General features: G+C 36.1%; 1 protein-coding gene across 3 annotated transcripts in view; it reads right to left on the bottom strand.

Moving 5' to 3' along the window:
- The window catches only part of CFAP47 (cilia and flagella associated protein 47), a 465584-nt gene that overhangs the window by 269278 nt on the left and 178567 nt on the right, over positions 1-17739 (bottom strand). For all 3 annotated transcript variants that reach the window (NM_001304548.2, XM_017029452.2, XM_017029453.2), the window contains exons 31-33: positions 17166-17247; positions 16161-16289; positions 11349-11541 (exon numbers count right to left, since the gene is read on the bottom strand). In NM_001304548.2, the coding sequence (NP_001291477.1) occupies positions 11349-11541; positions 16161-16289; positions 17166-17247 (404 nt within the window). The remainder of the gene's footprint in view (positions 1-11348; positions 11542-16160; positions 16290-17165; positions 17248-17739) is intronic.

Below are 17739 nucleotides of genomic sequence, written 5' to 3'. Positions count from 1 at the left end.
GTTACAGTGTGAAAAAATGTCTAACATACTACTTGGTCTATTTCAAAACAAATAACTTGATAGGAGAGAGAAAGAGATGGGTTGATTTATTCAAACTATAAAGAAAAGTTGAGAGTTCAGAGAGTTATTTACTCTTTATCTCCAGATGAAAAACTACAGATTTATGTCCTATTAGATGCAGTTATTCTTCTGAAATATCTGTGATGAATCAATTTTTGTGAGGAGAGATGTATTTTCAGTGCACAGGAATGCTATGGAAATGGCTCTAGTAAAGGTAATAAACATTCCAATTTTATATCTGTTAGCTATTTTCATATATAAATCCACAGTTTAAATATCAGCTTTTAAAAAAACCTAATTTTGTCCATAACTGTATCCTGTTCCTCCCTCCATACATAGGAAACTTCAAAATAAATAAATGATGAAGTTCATAATGGTCATGCCACCCTCCAGTTTCACCTGCCTGAATCTCTGGAAGGTCCCAGTGCTTGATTAGCATAGTACATATTATGTCAAATTTTAATACAATAACTTCTCATCACAGACACTATGGTGATGTAGTACCTTGCCAAACAATATTGACTTGTTTGATTTTTATTATCCTCATAAATATTTTTAACATTAGAAATAAAAACTCTCTACAGATGTTTATTTGACAATAATGTTCCAAGTGTTGTGATAAATAATATGAGTAAAGAGCTTACCATAGAACCACTTAGTAAATATTCAATATTTTTGTGATTATGATTTTTTATTTTTGCTAATAATAAACTAGAAAAACCTCTGCAATAAAGGACTTAAATTACTATGGGAGAGAGAAACAAGTAGAAACAAATGTGAAAACCATATGACAAACACTTTAATAAGCTTACATAAAGTATGTTACAAGACAAGGAAGATGTATTCCATCTAGTCTTGGGGAGATTGTGGAAAGGTTTCCTAGAAGAGCTGATGTCTATAATGAGACTTGAATTGTGAGGATAAGGAGACACTGAAAAGAGATTCCAGACAAAGCAAAAAGTACTATAAAATTTAAATGCAGAAAGAAGCAGACAGAGTCACCAGTAGGGGCCTCCTTGCACTCCAAAGCCAAGTTGCCTCCACCACTGGAGTGAACACTTGCATGAAGGCAGGAATCCCAGCACCCACTAGCACCCTAATGCAGCTGATATGCATGCACCCCATCGTGCTGCTGCTGGCACGTATAAATTAGGAAGGATCCTGTTGCCACTGCACTATGAAAGCCTTCAGCCAACACTACTCACCAGAGTGTAGTGACCAGCAGTCTGGGAGCACCTCATCCTCCACCCCCACCCAGTGCAGTCCATTCCTAAACTCGAGGAGCCAGAGAACAAAGTCAGGGCCTGGCACATATTCCCCAGAGTTAGAGCACGCAGTCTAGGAGTAGAGAGCTGAGCGCTGGCCTTCTAAAATCTTCCAGAAATGAAGCCAATCAGCTGAATCCACCTTATACCACAATCAAACTCTCAAGGTCATAAAATAAGATAAAAGAAAAAAGAAAAAACACCCAAAGGTGAGCCACTCTAAAGGCTGAAGAAACATCATCCCACAAAAATTTGAAAGAACCAGTTCAAGAACTCTGACAACTCAAAAAGCCAGAGTGCCTTCTTTCCCCAAACTACTGCATCACTTCTCAAGGATTATGAACCAGGCTGAGTTGGCTGAAATGACAGAAATAGAATTCAGAGATGGATAGGAATAAGGATCATGGAGATGCAGGAGTATGTTGAAACACAATCCAAGGAAACTAGGACTCATAATAAAGTAATACAGGAGCTGACTGACAAAATAGGCAGTATAGAAAAGAATGTAATCGACGTCATAGAGCTTAAAAACATACTACAAAAATTTCATAATGCAGTCACAAGTATTAATAGCACAATAGACAATGCTATAAAGAAAATCTCAGAGCTTGAAGACTGGCTTTCTGAACTAAGACAGTCAGACTTGGGAGGCCAAGGCGGGCAGATCACGAGGTCAGCAGATCGAGACCATCCTGGCTAATGCGGTGAAACTCCATCTCTACTAAAAATACAAAAAAATTAGCTGGGCATGGTGGTGGGCGCCTATAGTCCCAGCTACTCAGGAGTCTGAGGCAGGAGAATGGTGTGACCCCAGGAGGCAGAGCTTGCAGTGAGCCGAGATCGTGCCACTGCATTCCAGCCTGGGCGACAGAGCGAGACTCCAAAAAAAAAAAAAAGACAGACAAGAATAGAGAAAAACATATTTAAAGGAAGGAACAAAACATCCAAGAAATATGGGATTATATAAAAAGACCAAATCTATGATTCACTGGTGTCCCTGAAAGAGACAGGGAGAACGTAAACAACTTGGAAAACATATTTCAGGGTATCATCTATGAGAACTTCTCCAACCTAGCTAGAGAGGCCAACATTCAAATTTAGGGAAGGCAGAGAACTTCAGTAAGGTACTTCACAAGAAGGTAATCCACAAGACACATAATTGTCAGATTCTCCAAGGTCAAAATGAAAGAAAAATTGTTAAAGGCAGCTAGTGAGAAAGGTCAGGTCACCTACAAAGGGAAGCCCATTACACTAACAACAGACATCTCAGCAGAAACCCCACAAACCAGAAAAGATGGGGGGCCAATATTCAATATTCATAAAGAGAAGAAATTCTAACCCAGGATTTCATATCTGGCCAAATTAACTTTATAAGCAAAGGAGAAATAAGATCCTATTCAGACAAGCAAATGTTGGAATTTGTTACCACCAGACCTGCCTTACAAGAGCTCCTGAAAGAAGCACTAAATATAGAAAGAAAAGACCTTTACCAGCCATTACAAAAGCACATGTAAGTACACAGACCAGTGACACTATAAAGCAACCACACAAACAAGTCTGCATAATAACCAGCTAACATCATGATGACAGGATCAAAGCCACACATATCAATACTAACCTTGAATGTAAGAGGGCTATACGCCCCAATTAAAAGGCACAGAGTGGCAAGCTGGATAAAGAACCAAGACCCATTGGTATACTGTCATCAAGAGACTCATCTCATATGCAATGACACCCATAGTCTCAAAATACATGGATGGAGAAAAATCTACCAAGCAAATGGAAAACAAAAATAAAAGTAGGGGTTGCAATCTACATCTCAGACAAAACCAAAGCAGATCAAAAGAGACAAGGAAGGGCATTACATAATGGTAAAGGGTTCAATTCAACATGAATGCCTAACTATCCTAAATTAATATACACCCAACACAGGAGCACCTAGATTAATAAAGCAAGTTCTTAGAGACCTTCAAAAAGACAAACTCCCACACAATAATAGTGGGAGATGTTAACAACTTACTAGTAGTATTAAACAGATCATCAAGACACAAGATTAACAAAGATATTCAGGACCTGAACTCAGCACTGGATCAAATGAACCTGACAGACATCTACAGAACTATCCACCCAAAAGCAACAGGGTATACATTCTTCTAATTGCCACATGACACATACTCTAAAATCGATCACATAATTGGACACAAAACACGCTTCAGCAAGTGCAAAATAGCTGAAATCATAACAACCACTTCTTGGACCACAGAGTAATAAAATTAGAAATCAAGACTTAAAAATTCACTCAAAACCATATAATTACATGGAAATTGAATAACCTGATCCTGAATAACTTTTGGGTGAATAATGAAATTAAGGCAGAAATCAAGAAGTCCTTTGAAACTAATGAGAAAAAAGATACAACATACCAGAATCTCTGGGAAACATCTAAGGCAATGTTAAAAAGAAAATTTATAGCACTAAATGCCCACATGAAAAGTTAGAAACATGTCGATTTAACCACCTAACATGACAATTAAAAGTACTAGAGAGTCAAGAGCAAACAAACCCCAAAACTATCAGAAGACAAGAAATAACCAAAATCAGAACTGAACTGAAGGAAGGAGATTGAGGCACAAAAAACCATTCAAAAGATGAACAAATCCAGGAGTTGAGTTTGTGAAAAAACAATGAAATAGACCATTAGCTAGAATAATAAAGAAGACAAGAGAGAAGATCTGAATAAACACAATTAGAAATTACAAAGGGTATCAGTCACCCCATAGAAATAAAAATAATTATCAGAGAATATTATGAACACCTCTAAGCACATAAACTAGAAAATCTAGAATACATGGATAAATTCCTGGACACAGACACCCTCCAAAGACTGACCTAGGAAGATATTGAATCCCTGAGCAAACCGATAATGAGCTCCAAAACTGAATCAGAAATAAATAACCTACCAGCCACAAAAAGCCCAGGACCAAATGGATTCACAGCCAAATTCTACCAGATGTATGAATAAGAGCTGGTATCATTTCTACTGAACTTATTCCCCAAAATTGAGAAGGAAGCCCTCCTCCCTAACTCATTCTATGAGTCCAGCATCATCCTGATACCAAGCCTGGCAGAGACACAACAACAACAAAAAAATGAAATCTTCAGGCCAATATCCTTGATGAACATCGATGCAAGAATCCTCAACAAAATACTGGCAAACTGAATTCAGCAGCATGTCAAAAAGCTAATCTACCATGATCAAGTAGTCTTTATCCCTGCAACATAAGATTAATTCAATGTATGCAAATAAAAATATGTGATGAATCACATAAACAGAACTAAATAGAAAAAGTGCATGATTATCTTAATAGATGCAGAAATGGCTTTCAATAAAACTCAGCATGACTTCATGTCAAAAACTCTCAATAAACTGGGTATGGAAGGAACATACCTCAAAATAGTAAGAGCTCTCTATATTAAACCCACAGCCAATATCATACTGAATGGGCAAAGGTGGAAGCATTCCTTTTGAAAACCAGCACAGATGAAGTATGCCCTCTCACTAGTCCTATTCAACATAGTATTGGAAGTCCTAGCCAGAGCAATTGGGCAAGAGAAAGAAATAAAGGATATCCAAATAGGAGGAAAGGAAGTCAAATCTTTCCTGTTTCCAGACAACACGATTCTATATGTAAAAAACTCCTTAGTCTCAACCCAAAAACTCCTTATGCTGATAAACAACTTAAGCAAAGTCTCAAGACACAAAAGGAACATACAGAAAAATCACTAGCATTTCTAAACACCAACAACAGTCAAGCAAGAGCCAAATCAGGAATGTAATCACATTCACAATTGTCACAAAAAGTATAAAACACCTAGGAATAACAAGGAAGGTGAAAGATCTCTACAAGGAGAATTACAAAACACTGCTCAAAGAAATCAGAGATGACACCAACAGATGGAAGAATCATTCCATGCTCATGGATAGGAAGAATCAATATTGTGAAAATGACCATATGACCCAAAGCAATTTATACAATCAATGCTATTTCTATAAAACTACCAATGGCATTCTTCACAGAACTAGAAATAACTATTTTAAAATTCATATGGAACCAAAAAAGATCCCAAATTGCCAAGGCAATCCTAAACAAAAAGAACAAAGCTGGAGGCTTCACTGTATCCAACTTCAAACTATACAAAGGGGCTACAGTAACAAAAAGGGGATGACTGGTACAAAAACAGATACATAAACCAATGGAACAGAATAGAGGTCAGACATAAGGTCGCACACCTACAACTATCTAATCTTTGACAAAATTGACAAAAAAAGCAATGGGGAAAGGACTCCCCATTCAATAAATACTGACAGAATAACTGGCTAACCATATGCAGAAGATTGAAACTGGACCCCTTCCTTACACTATATATAAAAATTAATCCAAATTGTATTAAAAAGTTAAATGTAAAACCCAAAAGTATAAAAACCCTGGAGGACAACTTTGGCACTACCATTCTTCATGTAGAAATGAGAAAAAATTTCATGACAAAGACACCAGAAGCAATTGCAACCAAAGAAAAAATTGACAAATGGGATCTGTTTAAGCTAATAAGCTTTTGCACAGCAAAAGAAACTACCAACAGAGTAAACGGACAACCTACAGAATGGGAGAAAAGTTTTGCAATCTATGCACCTGACAAAGGTCTAATATAAGGAATATAAGGTCATCTATAAGGAACTTAAATTTACAAGCCAAAAAGAAACAACCCATTAAAAAGTAGGCAAAGGACATGAACAGACACTTTTCAAAAGACATACATGCAGCCTAGAAGCATATGAATAAAGCTTAACATCACTGATCATTAGAGAAATGCAAATAAAGACCACAGTGCAATACCATCTCACACGAGTCAGAATGGCTCTTATTAAAAAGTCAAAAAGTAGGCTGGGCGCGGTGGCTCAGGCCTGCAATCCCAGCACTGTGGGAGGCCGATGTGGGTGGATCACGAGGTCAGGAGATGGAGACCATCCTGGCCAACATGGTAAAACCCCGTCTCTACTAAAAATACAAAAATTAGCTGGGCGTGGTAGCGTGTGCCTGTAATCCCAGCTACTCAGGAGGCTGAGGCAGGAGAATCGCTTGAACCCGGGAGGTGGAGGTTGCAGTGAGCCAAGATTGTGCCACTGCACTCCAGCCTGGTGACAGAGCTAGACTCCATCTCAAAAAAATAAAAAATAAAAAAATATAGTCGAAAAGTAACAGGGGCTTGAGAGGTTGCAGAGAAAAAGGTACACTTATAAACTGTCGCTGGGAGTGTAAATTAGTTCAACCATTGTGGAAGACAGTGTGGTGATTCCCCAAAGACCTAAAAATGGAACTACCATTCAACCCAGCAATCTCATTATTGGGTATATACCCAAGGAATATGATTTGTTCTATCATAAAGACACATGCAGGTATATATTCATTGCAGCACTGTTCACAATAGCAATGACATGCAATCAACCTACATGCCTATCAACGGTAGACTGCATAAACAAAACATGGCACATACACACCATGGAATAATATGTAGCCAGAAGAAAGAATGAGATCATGTCCTTTGCAGGAACATGGATGGAACTGGAGGCCATTAACCTTAGCAAACTAATGAAGGAACAAATATGACATGTTCTCACTTTAAAGTGGGAGCTAAATGATGAGAACACATGGACACATAGAGGGGAACAGCAGACACTGAGGCCTACAGGAGGGTGGAGGATGGGAGGAGGGAGAGCATCAGAAGAAATAACTAATAGGTACTAGGCTTAATACCTGGATGATGAAATAATCTATACAACAAACCCCCGTGACATGAGTTTACCTATATAACAAACCTGAACATGTACCCATGAACTTAAAATAAAAGTGAAAAAAAAAAAAAAAGGAAGCAGCAGCCAATCAATAGTTTACAGCGCTGAAGTATAATGTGCAAAAGTCAATGTAAAGAGTTATGGTTATAAGGTATGGTAGATATTGAAGTGAATAAAATACCATTAAAGGATTTTAGGCAGGAGTCTGATGCTAAAATTTGTGTTTTATGAAGAACTAAGTATGGCTGTGTGAGCAACAGATGGGCAAATGGCAGGACTGGATGTGGTAAATATGAGAGGGTGACATTGATTGAAATGATAAATTACAAAAGTGACAGAAGAGCTAGAAAAAAGTAGGTAGATTCAGAAGATAACTTGTGGATAGAATCAAAATAAATTGTTGGTTGGTGATTAATTAGATGTAAGAAGGAGGGATGCCTAGATTTTTGACCAGTGAAATTTGAGGTGCTTATGGGACATTTTAATGAAGGTGTTCATAAGGAGAAAGATATACAGAACTGGAGGTGAGGAGGTAGGTCTGAGGTAGATTTGGATCTGGGAGGCATTGGAAGAGTAACTTAAAACCACAAGAGGATATAGATGGCCAAAATGTGGAGGTTTGGAGCAAAGACAGAAGAAGGAAAATATCAATGTGATGAAGGAAAGAGACCTTGAACAGAGAATGCTAAGGAGGGTCTTGAGAGCCACAAAGAAAGCCAAAATGCTTTAGCTAGCATACAAGGGCAAGACAGGAAATCTGAGGAAAAATGGTGTCTGTATATCAGAGGGTAGAGGAAATGCCTCCCTTTGAATCTGAACAACTCTAATGCTCAAAAAGCTTGTAATTTTTAAGCAGAAGTCACAGTGAGCAGTATCTTCTGGAAACACTCATAGTTAAAATTCAAGTGTTTATTCCCTGAATGGTCAAGGGAAAAATAAATAAATAGAGATTGAAGGAGAGGTGTAAGGCACGTAAAGGAAGATATTGAAAAGAAAAGAGACGTAAGAAAAAGGTAATATAGAAATAAGAATCTTAGGTAAATAGCAAGATTGAGGAAAGTAATGTGGCAAAAAGAAAGAATGTTATATATGGTAATAAATGAAGGAAAATAGTAACAGAGGAGAAGAGAGAATGTATAAGATGAGAAGAACAAAGCCAAGACAAGAGTGCACATCAGCACATCAACACAAAATAAGTCTGTATAGAACACTGTTTATAGGTTAATTATATCCTCAAGGGAAAAAGTATAATATTTGATACAATAATAAGCTGTTGGCTTGTCTCTGTTCCTGTCAGATGTTCAGCTTTTCAACTAGTTTTAAATACTTGAACATCTTTTCAACTTCTTTTGGCTTTATCTATATAACCATCCATTTAGCCATTGATTTATTTAAGAGATATTTATTCAGCACCTTCAACGTGCTCACATAGGATTTAAAGCTTGGTGCGGAGCTTACAGATATTTGCTATATTAATATTTTAGAAAATATGAGTTGTATCTAACATTATTAAAGACTTGAAATTTAGATCAATGATTACCTAAAACACACAAATAATTTTACATAAATTGCAATGGACTGAAGTTTATGAATTTTCTGAAGGACTTTTTTACTGTACAGGTCATCAGAGCAATGGATTCATATTTATTAGACATATTGCTTAATGAGTCTAACAATGGAATTGTTATTTTTTGCTTTAAAAATGTATTACTAAATTATTTTTAAATAGACAGTTTTTTAAAGCATTATCAGGTTTGTAGCAAAATGAATCAGAAGTTACAGAGAGTTACCACACACACACAATCCTCCCCCACTATCAACCTTTTGCACTGCAGTGGTGCATTTATTACAACTGATGAACCTACATTAACAAACCATTATCACCCAAAGTTCACAGTTTACATCAGGGCCCACTCTTAATATTATACATTCTATGGGTTTTAACAAATGTATAATGACATGTATTCATAATTATAGTATCAAACAGAGTAGTTTCACTACCTTAAACGTCCTGTGTACTCTACCTATTCATCACTCCTTCCCCGCTAACCCCTAGTATCCACTGATCTTTTTCCTGTCTCTATGGTTTTACATTTTCCAGAAAGTCATATAGTTGAAACCGCACAGTATGTAGCCTTTTCAAATTGGCTCCTTTTACCTAGTAATACATCTATAAGTTTACTCCATGTCTTTTCATGCCTTGATAGCTCACTTCATTTTACTGCTGAATAATACATTGTTCTTTGATGGAGGGAGTTTATCTCTTTTGTGCCTTCTGCCACGTGAGGACACAGTGTTCCTCTTGTTTGGAGTGTGCATCGTCTAGGCACCATCTTGGAAACAGACAGCAGCCCTTATCAGACATAGAACCTGCCAGTACCTTAATCTTGGACTTCTCAGCCTTTAGATCTGTGAAAGATAAATTTCTGATCTTTATAAATTACCCAGTCTATGGTATTCTGTTATACCAGGACAAAGCTAAGACAGTATGTGTCTGTTATTTTGTTAGGCACAGTTCTAGGCTTTGGGAATAAATGAGACAAGATTGTTCCTTGGCTAATTAAGAAGGTCACATTCCTAATTAGTCAAAGAGCAATCTTGTCTAATTTATTCAGAAGGTGACATTCTACTGGAAGAGACAGATGATAAACAAATACATTTATGTTTACAATTACATTTATATTTAAAAAGTGCTGCTGAGAATAAAAATAGAGCAGGAAAGAGTAGGACTGAAGGATATCCTGTTTTAGAGAAGATATTGATAAACCTTCTCAGATAAGGTGACATTTAATCAATGACTCGAATGAAATGAGAAAGGGAACCATGAAGATATCTGGTAAAATAATAGTCTAGTCAAAGGGAACAGGAAGCACAAAAGCTTTGTAAAGGCATTGGACTCAGTGTGCTAAAAAACAGCAAGGAGGTAAATGTCTATAATATATTATTTGGGAAAAATGTGGCAAAATCTTTGAAATTAACTGGCATAGGCCACTGTTTTGGTAAAATTAGAACCATAATACTTTTATAACAAATTAACACGTTAATTTTTAATACATGCACATATTTTATGACACCCTGGTCAAAGTGTTACTCTGCAATAATCAAACTAATTTTTATGTGTTTTTGTGTAGTTCACCTTAGCATTATTTATTTGTACTTTGTTTTGTATTTTAATGGGGCAAATATATTTTTATAAGATAAATTTTGATATTTTCAGCATGTCAATTAGAAGGTAATAAAGTATTCTATGTTTGCTGTTCTCAAATACCAACATGTCAATATATCTTTTTCAATCTTGGTGTTTTCTTGAATGTTTTCTAAAATAACACCTTCAATTTAAGGGCAATCATAATTCAAAGTCTCATTTTTAAACTGAACTCTTAATCTTCCCCTTACTTGTAAAGTTTGAATTAAATTCTGCATATTGGATATTAAAAAGTTATTTCATGTTAAAAAACAGTCTACTTTGAACACAATAGGTTTGTATGTACTTGGAAGAAAGGAGTTGAATTGAAGCTAAAGGAACAATGGCCATGCGCACTGTCCTTAGTACTATCTGTGAACACCAACATGTCTCAGCACCACACTGTATAATTTACAAGAGGCTTATGACTCGGTTAAAAAAACTGCATTTTAAGGACAGTTCTGTTAGAATGTAAATTCATCTAAAACACAAGGATGTGAAATGACTTTATTTCATTGTGAAATACCTAATATGACCTACCCTCCAAAGAATTCATGAAGCATTATTGCTCTTAGTGATTTCCAACATGATCCTCATATGACATGTGAAATTTTTTCTAGGAGATTTTACTTGATCTCGACTAGTTATATACTAAGTTTGAGCAGTGTCACCTATATATTTAATACTCTATACAGTTGAAAATGTCAGCAATGATTAATGCTTTCATTCTAGAGTTCCTCCATATGCTTTTAAAATCAGTTATTCTTCAAAATAAGTTAAAGAAGCACCTTTTATTATTTCCATTTTATATGTGAGGAAACATATCTTGAAGATGTTAAGGAGGCATTATTTTTGTAGAACAGAAAGTAAATGTTGGAGAGGGGTCTAGAATCCATGGATTCTGAGTTGATTGTGTATCCATGGCTCCTTCTCCATCATCACACTACAATTTGCAATAATTTGTTTAAAGAAAAATATCACTTCTCACCTTTGTGACAGTTTTTCCATATCACATGTCGAGTATTCTCATAATTTATGTTCATCCAACTAAGCAAAATTCTTTCAGAATCAGAATATATGTTGCTGGATGCAAAACAAGGATTGACTTTTGGTGTATTTTGCACACATATGGGGGGCATATTATTGCTGCAGTATGGCACTACACGGGATAGAACCAAAACCTGAAATTGGGAGAGATAACTTTTATTAGATGCAAATGGAAAAATAGCAAATTAATATTTGAAGAGAAAATTTTAAAAAACATGACAGGAGATTAAAGAGGGCACTAGTATTTTCTGGTTAAATGGATTCAATCAGAAGTAAAAGAGTAGAACAGATGTGTCCCAATAATGCTCATTTTAAATTGACAACTTTTTGCTTCTGTGGTATTTAGTCTTAAGGAACTACACTGTATAATTTACAAGAGGCTTATTGTACATTTAAAACATAACTGCATTTAAGAACATTTCTGTTAGGATGTAAATTCATTTAAAACACAAGGATGTAAGATGCCTTTCTTATTTCCTTACCAGCTCATGCAGCTTAGAAAAGCCAAAGTAAAAGTAAATAAGTTAACAAGCCAAAAATTATTTTCTTACATTTATTTAAGAGGTCTGTTTTAAGATGATAAAAGTGTACACAATTTGTCATTTGACCTATTGTTACCCTATAACTTAAAGTGTGGTATATTCACATCATATCACCATTCACTACATGTACACCACATGTTTTATTAGGTAGCAATGCAACTGGATTTAAAAATAATTTTAGCGATATTAAGATGAAAAGAACTCTGTGTCTGTCAGTAAAGTACTATAGTACAGAGCTACTCAAAGTAACACTCTACTAACCATTGTCTACAAGTTCTAGATGAGATGAACAGCTTGTGATCTGCTACCTCACTATATATATCTCAAGAGTTTCCGAATGGAGCATTGGTTCACATTAAAGTACACAGTGTAAGCTCAGCTCCTTGATTTATCCCAAACCTTTAATAGATGGTTTTCCAGTGGTATGGGTATGAACACAACAATTTGAGTCATATGTGCTATAAAGATACTATTGATACCCTGCTCATATCTCCTTAGTTCCACCTTTACATTCTGAAGCTTGCTTATTGTGAAAACCTGTAAGTCTCTGCTTGAGGGATGTTTTTTTTTTTTTTTTTTTTTTTTTTTTCTGGCATATGAGAGCACACTCAGCTCACAGAGGGCAAGGTAGGAGCGCCAGAAGATAATGACCCCAGCAACGGCCCCTTACCAAAGATGGTCAGGGAATTGGTAGTTAATTACTCCAGATTCCTCACTAGTCAGTTGAGATAAGTCTGAGACATGTTCTAAAATGTATCCTATTGGTCCCCAGTGGCATTGAGCTTCAGTTGCCCACAGCGAAACCTGATTGAAACCACAACTGTTACTGACTTCATTATATTATCTGCTTTAATTCACTACTCTACTACTGATGCTTCTTGGGAGCACTTCTGAAATAAATGATTTGCACTCAAATACTTGTCTCAGTGTCTGCTTTTAGGGGAATCAAACCTAAGACAAGTACTCTTACAGTCAAGTACATGTGAATAGTAACTGAAAAAGTGCTCTTTTTCTAAGTAATGCATATTTATGCCATACAGTGTTTCAAATAACTACAGTATACAGATTGTTAAAATACCTATGAGCATCCAAAACTGTTCTTTTGTTTACCACTATAAGAAGTACTTCAAAATTTGATTAAAAAAATCCATTTCTGAATGTTAGCTATTTATCTAGCATATGTGAATTGCACCATTTTAGCATTTTGTATAGATGTTTAATGGAACTGCCTTCTTTCATTCTGGCAGTTTTGTGGTCTAGAAGTCCTACATTTCAAATCTCACGTATTATAAAAATGCAATTTAAAGCCTTTGAAAAGGACCCCCATCAATTTCTGTTTATTTCTGGGAAATACCAAATGATAAATTACTTGAGTACAGCTGATGAGATATATGTTTGGGACTAATGACCTGAACTGGCTCAGGATTCATCTGTCATCTGTCACTTCTACTCTGCAAATAAGACAAGATCTGCAAGTGACCCTTGACTAAGAATACTGATTTAATGATGGACCCATATGGAGCATGGTTGTAACCTTTAGTATTGGAAGAGCCATTACACTGAGTGCTTAATTCTACAGCAGTGTTTCTGAAATTATCGGTGGTAAAAAAAAACTTATTAATTTTCTCTTTACCACAGAATGATAGTTTTGTAAAATACTCTGAAAATAAATTGCTAGAAAAATAAAACGAAGAATTAAAATGTACGCAAAGTCCAAGACTCCATCACTTGCAAATCCAAATACACCTGGGGCAATAAGTGTTACTATTTATCCATTAACATGCAAACCACACCAAGCATGAGTTGAAGGAATGGAGTAAGAATTACAGAGGCAAGAATGTGCTGTGAGCCGTGCCAGCTAAGATGAAATTTGGGTAAATCAAATTTTGTGATCCATACTCAGGAAATTCTTTCATGCCCTCAGAAAACATTGTTTCGAATTATCTTTCATTTTTGTTAAAGATTTGATTCAAGAAATGTAATAGCACCCTTTAAAGTCAATACATTGGCCACAAAATAGAACATAGTCCTGGGCTATCCCACTATGTCACTATGGGACATTTAAAAGACTTCAGAACAACAATGACAAAACTACTACTAATAGTATACATTTACATATATTGAGCGCTATCCCACCCCTATCATATGCACTTTCAGGTTCACATGAACTTTGCTATTATATTTGGCTTATTGTTTATTAATGACAACTTTTTAAATTATGTGTTCTTTTAACCCACTGGCTTAGAAAACATAATGTTCATTTTTACTTGTCCATAAAAATCTCTGTATTTTTGAGACTAATGAGATATTTGGATTTGTTCTGAAGAATCATCTTGACTAGGCTTATGTTGACCCAAAGAAAAGAATCAATTGTCAGTTTATGTATGATCTTTCCTTTAGATTTAGAGACGCCTGATGGTTTAACACTTATTTGGAGTCTCTTTAAACCCCCTTAACTAAAGAAATGTATAGCAATACATTTATAGGACATCCAAGTTACTTGAGAATCCAGATGAGGATAGTGTACCAGATCAAGCGCTCATACCTCATTGTCAGTGTTTTGTATTGAGTAATGAGAAATTGCTCATTACTCTGAGGGTGCTGCATGACTAGAAAACTGAAAAGATTTCTCAGACTTGAAGGCTTTCCTGTATTGAAATGGTCCTTGCCCACCATATTCCACTTCTTGTAACCATTTCTGACGTGAGTGTGAAGTCAGTGGGACACTGGAAGCTATGCTTTGAGTCACAGCTCTTGGCTTCGCTGTTGGTGTGCATTCTGTGTTATAACTATCTTTTGTACTTCCTTAAAACTAAGTTAACATGTTGCTGTGTAAAATCTACTGTATTTCACAGTTTGGATTATCAAACCAAACCCAAGACCATGCTTCTGGTGAAGCAGAGTAGGCCCTATATGACTAACAGTGCAAAGGATCATATTTCCAGCATTAACAACCAGTCACCAATGAAATGAATTTTTGCACAAGAATACTCTTCTTACATTCAGCAAGAAAGATAGTTCAGGTTGATGGTGAAAAAGAGAAGCACAGGAGGAGCAAGTCAGGAATCATGCAGAAGAAGGAACTCTCCAGAGGGTGATCTGGGTGGCTGACTCCAAAGGAGACTTCAGACTGCCAGGGGGCAACATGAGGGCCCTGGACTCCTGGGCCCCAGCAGAGAACAACATGGAAGAAATAAGCACTACCTGCATCAAATTGTTGCATATGGTCAAATTCATGTGATCTTGAAAGAAAGAATGTGCGCCTGTGACACTCAGTTTCTTCATTGCTAAATTGATGATTTCAGTTGTGAGGATTTAATATTAAAAAATTTACTGACAGAGTCTTACACATACTACTCACTATTCAGCTCTTAATTTTGCCCTTTCCTTTGAGTCACTAATTCCTGATTCTATTCAATTCCTCCCTTGTTCTAACTCTCAGTCCTACAGCTCACCCGTCTGGGGTTGCAAGGTGTGAAGACAGAACAAAAGCCTCCATTGGTCCTAGTGGACAAGATCTATAGTGCTATATTTGAAAACCTAAGGAATTATTCAAGCACTGAAACCAGGACTTGCTTATGCAATAAGGGTACAGAGTATAGAGGTATAATTTACGCTATGTTAATCTACCCACAAATGCAATTTGGCAGGAAGTAAGTTCGAGAATCTCATAAAAACCTTTTGCCTATAGTTGTATGAATCTTAGTGAATATAGTTTTATAGCAAGAGACTACCGTGTATTAGATGTGGAGACAATAATTTTCACCAGTACTCATTCTTTAATTCTCCCTTTTAGTACTAGAATATTCCTGTAGCTACTCATTCTAGAGACTGTATTTCTCAACTTTTTTTGCAGTTAGATATGACTGTATGACTGAATTCTGCCTAATGAAATCTGAAATGAAAAAGACATATTTCACAGGTCACATCCTTAAAAGGTAACTCCTTGCCTCCAGTACTCCTTTACCTGCTCTTCCTTCTTCAGAGAAATCAGACCCATACATGAAAGCCTAGTACTGAGGAGGAAAGAGATACTCCAGAAGCTTTGACCCTCTCACATCTCAGCAGTTCCATGAGAAAGCAATAAAAAAAAATCTCTCATTTAAGGCACTGTGTTTTTGAATCTTTCATAGCAGCATTGTCTATACTTTAATTAACATATGATTCATATTAATCAACAGAGAAGCAGCGAACAATAATGGAAATGTTACCTTGTATATCTGTAGAAATACATCTGTCCATGCCCGTTTACTCCAGGCTTCAAATTTAGACATTTCTATAACAATAGAACATTTTTTCTTAGGTGTACAGGAACTCACAGGCATCGTATTAGTGGAAGACTTTAAGAAATAAAATAGTACAACATTAATTAAAATTTAAGGCAAATTTAGCATATGAGTTTTTTTTTTCAAAACATGTGGATGCCTTTTCTATACTTTAATCAAGAGCTCTAATTTGCAATGTGCCAATAATAGAAGATATCACCACAGGTAACTTTATGGAGCACACAGTCTCTTATTTAGATCATACATTTATTCATTCAACGCACCTACTAGATCACTCTGCAGAATAAGTGGCCGAACACGATACGAAGTTCTTCTGATTGCTGAGCCAAGAAAGAATCACACCCTTTGGATAAGGCAACAGGACCTCAGCATAGTGCCAAAGAACAGGCAGGCACCTGGTTCTCTACTCATGTCACATGGCAAGCATAGTGAGAGTCCTACAACCATAGTTGCCTCAAAGCCTGCAGACTCCTCAAAGACCACTCCCCTCTCAGTAGGTTACCACAAAGTAAACTATATATTATGACAAAACTATATATTTCTTGCTACATTTCTATTTTCCCCTGAAAACGAAGAAGAAAAGTGGCACATGGTGGTGAAATAAAACCAGTATTTTCTTTGGAAAATATGTATTCTAAAAGTTTAAGAATAAAATTTACATAACCCCACCTTATTCTTCATTTATAAATTCTCCAAAGTAGGAATTATTTATATATTTAAGAAAGCCATGTAATCATTTTTTGCATAGGAACTCCATAGAGATTTTTAGACAAATGTACAAAAACATATGGGTTATCCAAAAATTATGATCCTAATAATATTTTGCATATAAAACTCAACAGTCTGAAGTAGAATATTCTAACATAGGCCAAATACCAGTACATACAATAATAACTGTGTGGTTTGTTCCAAGAAATTATATTTTCTTACCATAATTTCAATCCACCTCTTATAATCTTCTGGTTCAAGCAAAAATTCTGGCAGGACATGTGAAATACATCCTCCTTGAGCACTAAAATTAAAAAAGAAAAACTCAAATTATAATATAATATACATGTTCTATATATGATTTGCATTGACCATCAATTAAATATTTCAAGTCACATTTGTATATATGCTAGATTTTATTTTTCAAATTTAAAAGTTATATAATTAGCCAGAGGTGGCAGTGGCCACTGGGTGAAGCTTCTCTGCCTTTGGAAAGGGGAGGGAAGAGTGAAAAGAAAGTGTCCTATGGTTTGAGTGCCAGCTCAGCCACAGTACAATATAACACCAGGTGGAATTCTAGTTTTTTTTAACTCTAGTCCGTTGCTCTGAACAGCACCTCTGGACCCACCTGGGGTCTGGGGGAACTCTAAGCCTTAAAGGAAAGATATAGGCTTGGCTGGCTTTGCCACCAGCTAATTGTAACTCTTCAATGCCCAAATACAGATACATATTTCCAAGAATCAAGATGATACAGGAAAACATGAGCTCACCAAATAAATAAGGCACCAAGGACCAT

Source organism: Homo sapiens, chromosome X (genome assembly GCF_000001405.40).
Source record: "Homo sapiens chromosome X, GRCh38.p14 Primary Assembly".
In the NCBI taxonomy this organism is placed as follows: Eukaryota; Metazoa; Chordata; class Mammalia; order Primates; family Hominidae; genus Homo; species Homo sapiens.
This window is presented reverse-complemented; position numbering and strand designations above follow the sequence as displayed.